We start from the raw sequence: 6,348 nt of genomic DNA on the forward strand, positions 1-6,348 counted from the left end.
TTTGTCAGATGGGTAGATTGCAAAAATTTTCTCCCATTCTGTAGGTTGCCTGTCCACTCTGATGATAGTTTCTTTTGCTGTGGAGAAGCTCTTTAGTTTAATTGGATCCCTTTGGCAATTTTAGCTTTTGTTGTAATTACTTTTGGTGATCTCATCATAAAATCTTTGCCCATGCCTATGTCCTGAATGGTATTACCTAGGTTTTCTTCTAGAGTTTTTATGGTTTTGGGTTTTACATTTAAGTCTTTAATCCATATTGAGTTAATTTTTGTATAAGGTATAAGGAAGGGATCCAGTTTCAGTTTTCTGCATATGGCTAGCCAATTTTCCCAGCATCATTTATTACACAGGCAATCCTTTCCCCATTGCTTGTTTTTGTCAGGTTTGTTGAAGATCAGATGCTTGCAGATGTGTGGTCTTATTTCTGAGGTCTCCATTCTGTTGCATTAGTCTATATGTCTGTTTTGGTACCAGTACCATGCTGTTTTGGTTACTGTAGCCTTGCAGTATAGTTTGAAGTCAGGTAGCATGATGCCTTCAACTTTGTTCTTTTTGCTTAGGATTGTCTTGGCTATGTGGGCTCTTTTTTGATTCTGTATGAATTTTGAAGTAGTTTTTTTCTAATTCTGTGAAGAATGTCAATGGTAGTTTCATGGGAATAGCATTGAATATATAAATTGGCAGTATGACCATTTTCATGATATTGATTCTTCCTATCCATGAGGATGAAATGTTTTTCCATTTATTTGTGTCCTCTCTTACTTCCTTTAGCAGTGGTTTGTAGTTCTCCTTGAAGAGGTCCTTCACTTCCCTTTTTAGCTGGGGAATCAGCTTTTTCTTCAAGGAGTCCTGGTTCCTTTCAGTGGTATATAATATTTGAATCCCAAATCTCGTCAGTGAACATGCTAATTCCTGAGCTGTTATTGCTTTCAAGCCTTTTTAGTAGACAAGAGCTAGGGAATCTGTATTAAAACACCCATAAGTTAATTGTGAAATTTCCAATTCCAATTTAAATTTAATAGGGTTTTTACTTAACTTACGAAATTATACATTTGCTTCTTTCCTTTTCAGTGAAAATCTTAATTCCTAATAACAAGATATTTTTATAGCTTTATCTTCCATATATATAATGTATAAGTATAAATAGTTAAAAATAATAATACCAATACTACTACTAACAGTTAGATTACTAAATTGTTTAAGGTTTTTTTTTTTTTTTTTTTTTGCCCTTAAAAATAACTCATTAAATAAATATGGCCCATATACTGTGTCTTAAAGCCATTTGAGTTATTTCTTTTTTCTGTGTGGTAAATTATCTTTTCTAATGACTTATACAACACAACTAATGAGTCCTCATTATACTTGAAAAAGCAAGGTTTTCATTCTAATAGACCTGGTTCCTCTGGGGGAGAGGTGCTAGAGATTAGAGTTGTGTTCTAAATTAATTAGTTGAAGCAACAAAAACCAGAGGAAAATCTGTTATGTAAATACATGGTCACAATGGACTTTATCTTGAAGAAACTTGTCAGGGAGTGAATAGCAGATGCAGAATTTTTCTGCCAATGTGAGTTATTGAGCTGCCGGCTTCTGTAAATTTTTAAATACGATCCCTCAGCAACCTATGGACAATACCAGATTTCCTATCACCTACTTGATTTTCAGGTCATTTTTGTTATAAGCATATACTCAGTAGAGGGTTAAGAAAGAAGTTGGATTAGAGCCAAAGAAGGCAGTTGCCTTTCACCATTGTTGAAAGTGGGGATGAAGAAATTCTGCTGCTTCAATAGTGTTTCTTTTGAGTACAGTTGGAATAGTAGGAGTGAAAGAAAAGGCAGATTTAGGGAAAGGAGAAGAAAAGATAGGAAGAGGGATAGGAAGATAAAGATTATAATAGCTCTTCTCTCCTATACCAGACACAGTGCAAGGCATTTTAATTAATTTAAACAACTCTCAGAATGCAACTTTCACATGATCTCTGTAGGATGAACTGAAGGCTGTGTGTATAAACACAATTTTAGCAAAAGGTTTTAGCTTCTTCTTAGGTCTGGTATAATGCAGTGATCTGTTGATTAAAACATTTTAATAGACTAAATGTGTACTTTGGTTTGAGGTTGAGACCAAGGTTTTCACTCAGTGTTTTTGTAGAGAAATAATTAGGAACATCAGTATTATCATCACTTTCATTTTATTTTCTCAGGCCTGCTACTTAGGGCCTGGCACATAATAAGTGCTCAATAAATGTTTGTTGAGTGATTAAATCACTCGATTACTTTTCATTCCTTCCAACCCTAGATGGAATGGAGAACTAAAAACATATTATGACATTTTTACAGGCAAACAATTTATATAAGGAAATATAGTGAATGGAAATGCCATAAATGTTGAAATAAGCCTAACCACTCTACTGTAGTTAAAGGAAAAATCAGGAGAACATGTGGATAATATAATAAGGTTTCAGTGCTAAAACGAGCTTTAGAAATCATCTGAATCTTCATTTTGTAGATGAGGACTATGAAGATCTAAAATGGTTGCGACTTGTGCAGAGCCACACTCTTGGTTAGGGGAGTCAGCTGATCCTGGTTTTCTAATTCCTTCCTCCAGGTGTATACCCTACCCTTACATCACACCCAATGTCCAACAAAGACAGAGAGTGGGACTTGACTTCCACGTTCATTGAATCCCAAGCAATTACTTTAAGAACCCTGAAAGAAATCATTTTGGGACATTTACCTGAGATAAGAAGGAAGCCCATAATGCAATTCAGAAAACAAACAAGGGAGCTTAGCGATCACATAAGCCTGTTTACGTTGAGAACCAGATAGAGAATAGTTTCTCAAGAGACTAGATAGAGTCTGCAATATTAGGGACATTTCTGTAGTGATGACATAAAACTATTGGGATATCTGGGGGAGAGTGAGTCTTCCATCCCACCGAGAGGTTGGATAGACTGATTGGTTCTATTTTCAATTCTCCTCATTTTCATTATCTGTGTTTGGGATGGACAATCACAATTGCAATGATTTCTTTTTGGGGTAAGGGTGGAAGGCAAAACTAATGATGTCACCAGAGAAAGCACACAGAGAGTATTTACCATCCTGGAGATCAGTGAACTGAAAATGTTGCTAGCACATCAGTCCTAGGGTGATGAGCTCCGTGGGAGCTCAGAGTAGCAATGAGTTGTGCCAGCTACCCACTGAGGGTGACAGTTTAAAAACAATGGACTGAAAAATGTTGTAAATTTGAAAAACAATGAACTGCCTGGTGTCAGTGTTTAGAGATTGATGGGACTGGTGCCTGGAAAGCCAGATAGGAGTGTAGAAATTCACACCATTTTAACATTCAAAGTGTCCCTTGAAATGATTCATTAAGAGCCATATAGATATAAATGCATATCTATGTATATAGATTTATATGCATTTGTACACATAAACACATGCACATTATTTATATTGTTCTCTCTTTGTGTTTAAAATGCTCAGAAGTTGAAACTTGTTTGGAAATATTCAGTCAAGTGAAATGTTTCCTTTTGCAATATGCAGTTTGTCTTGGTAGCTCATGCTGCCTTTAACTTTCTTTTCCCTTCCTCCCTATATAATTAAAGGTGAAGGGCAAGCAGGAGAGAGAGTTTTTAACTTATGCTGGTGCTCTCCTGAGTGCTGCTGCATGTGGCTATACAGGCTCTGCATTGCACAACATACAGATTATGATGGGGATGGCGCCTTCCAAAGTGGTGTGACAAGGCTGTCAGTCCAGTGCTGTAGCCAGATGGGAATTTGGGGTTTGAAAGTGTGTTAGTTAACTATTGCTACTTGATATCCCAAAACTTTGTGGTTTAAAATAATAGTCCTTTATTATATTTCATGAGTTAAAGGATCACCTGGGAGGTTCTGCTGATGGACTGTGCTCTGCATCTCTGTGGTCAGCTGGTGAATAGGCTGGTGGCGGTAGGTCTAGGATGACCTTGACAGGGACAGTTCATTTGTCCTCCATGTGTTTTTCACATCCTCTAACAGGCTAGCTAAAGCTTATTCTTGTTAGTGATAGTTAATGTGCAAGTGTTTTTTCACTTTTTCATCGATGGGATATGGTTTGGATGTTTGTCCCCTACAAATCTTATGTTGAAATGTAATTCCCAATGTTGGAGGAGAGGTCTGGTGGGAGGTGATTGGATCATGGGGGCAGATCCCTCATGAATGGCTTAGCACCATTTCCGTGGTGATGAGTGAGTTCTTGCTCAGTTCATGTGAGATCTGGTTGTTTAAGAGTGTGTGGCACCTTTGCCCTCTTTCTCTTGCTCCCACTTTTGCCATGTGACATGCTGGCTCCTTGTTGCCTTCCACCATGTTTGTAAGCTTCCTGGGACCTCACTAGAAGCAGATGCTAGCACCATGCTTTCTGTAAAGCCTGTAAAACCATGAGCCAATTAAACCTCTTTTTAAAATAAGTTATCCAACTTCAGGTAGTTCTTTATAGCAATGCAAGGACAATCTAACACAGTCTGCTTTGTCAAGTTTGCTGCTTTTTCATTGGCCAAAGCAAATCACATGGTGAAGTCCAAAGTCATGTGGGAAGGTAGTTTCAAAGGGTGTGGATATAGAGAGATACAAAAAATTCAGACTCTTAATGCAACCAGTCTAACACAGAGAGTGAGTTAGCAAACAAAAGTCTCAAAGAGAGGATCATGAATGTTGCTCTGGTTTGAATGTCCCCTCCAAAACTCAAGTTGAAATTTAATTGCCATTGTGATGGTATCAAGAGGTAGGACCTTAAAGAGGTAATTCGGTTATGAGGGTGGAACTGTTGTCATGAGAATAGGTTAGTATTGCTGCAGTGGGAACCTGATAAAAGGATGAGGTTCGGCTCCCTTTTTCTTTCTGTCTCATGCGCTCTCATCCTTTCTTGCCATGTGATGCCTTCTGCCATGGGATAATAACAAGACCCTCACCAGATGCAGCCCCTTGATCTTGGGCTCCCCAGCCTCCAGAACCATGAGCCAAATAAACTTCTATTGTTTATTAATTATCCAGCCTGTGGTATTCTGTTATAGCAGCAGAAAACAGACTAAGACAAATATCAATAGTCTTTGTTGTTCAAATCAGTACTATTTTTCTTTGAAGTTTGTATTTATTCATTTATTCATCCATCCAGCTTTTATTAGGTCTATTACGTTTAGACACTATTGTAGAGACTAAGACAAACTTTGTGCTTAAAATGGTTACCTGGTGAAACAGGCTTTTCTTTGGGCTCCACATCTTCTATTTCTTCTTCTCTCATCTGAGATATGGAGGGGGTCTTTTTTAAAATGGAATAGCAAAAAACTTGCTCTATGAAGCAGGTCATGTTAACTCAAGAAAGATTGACAAGCCTTGAAGCTTGCTCACCAGAAACATTGCCTCTCCTGCGAGGAGCTGGGACTCAGAAAGAGGGAAAGGAAGTAGAAAGAGGCCAAGGAGATAGGGTAGAGGAGAGAAGGAGGGAAAAGGGAGGAAGTCCAGAGAGAAAGAGAGAGAATTTAGATGCTTATCTCAGGTGAACTGAATGAACTTAGGGGCGACAGTAAAGACATTTTGCATCTTTCTCTGGGTTTTGTGTGTGTACATAACTGGCTAATGCTTTTTTTGTAATGGCCTGTCCTAATGTTGTCTCCCAGATACTGTGGGGGGTAAGTAAAGCATTTCATTTTGTAGAAATATGGAAGATGACTAATCATTTATCCTGCTCTAATCTTGCCTTCAGGACTACCCAATCTTCTCTTTATTCTTGTCATGTGCCAGTCACCATTACCTTCTTTTTGGCTTCAGGAGCCTGCCCACTAACCTGGACTTCAATTATTAATCATTTAAATGTTGCATTTTGTGGAATTCTAGAAGTCTCATCTTTTTTATCATGATTCTTCAACAACATTTCCACATTCTAGCTCCCAGCCTATTACCTTGATTCTAACGTCATCCATTCATGGAACATTTAGAGAGCTCCATTGTTCATCCGTTCATGGAACATTTAGAGAATTCCATTGCTCATGTGTGACAGTGTAGCTACAAACAATACTATGAAGATAATAATTGAATACTTACTATGTGTAAGACCTTATTGTAGCACATTTACTTGTGTAAACTTTATTTCACAACAATACCATCATTATCCTCATTTTACAGATGAGGAAATGGAAGCATAAAGAGATCAAATCACTTACTTGAAATAACAGAACTGGGAGTTGAATCCAAGTGGGTAGGCATAACTACACTCGATAAATAAGGCCCATTTCTGCTCTCAGGGAGTGACGATACCTTTGTTTTCTTCTTTTGTTACTAATCTGTTACTGCTTCAAACATTTTTGGCTTTCATCCA

At 37.8% G+C, this 6,348-nt stretch overlaps 1 annotated feature.

The window, feature by feature from the left end:
* Window positions 2,822-3,616: an enhancer, noted in NCBI's record as "OCT4-NANOG hESC enhancer chr12:58533509-58534303 (GRCh37/hg19 assembly coordinates)". NCBI's record gives its function as "activates a minimal SCP1, AML or CMV promoter by ChIP-STARR-seq in naive H9 embryonic stem cells {active_cell/tissue: H9 hESC(naive)}" and the evidence as "EXISTENCE:reporter gene assay evidence [ECO:0000049][PMID:30033119]".

The sequence above is a fragment of the Homo sapiens genome, chromosome 12 (genome assembly GCF_000001405.40).
Source record: "Homo sapiens chromosome 12, GRCh38.p14 Primary Assembly".
Taxonomy (NCBI): Eukaryota; Metazoa; Chordata; class Mammalia; order Primates; family Hominidae; genus Homo; species Homo sapiens.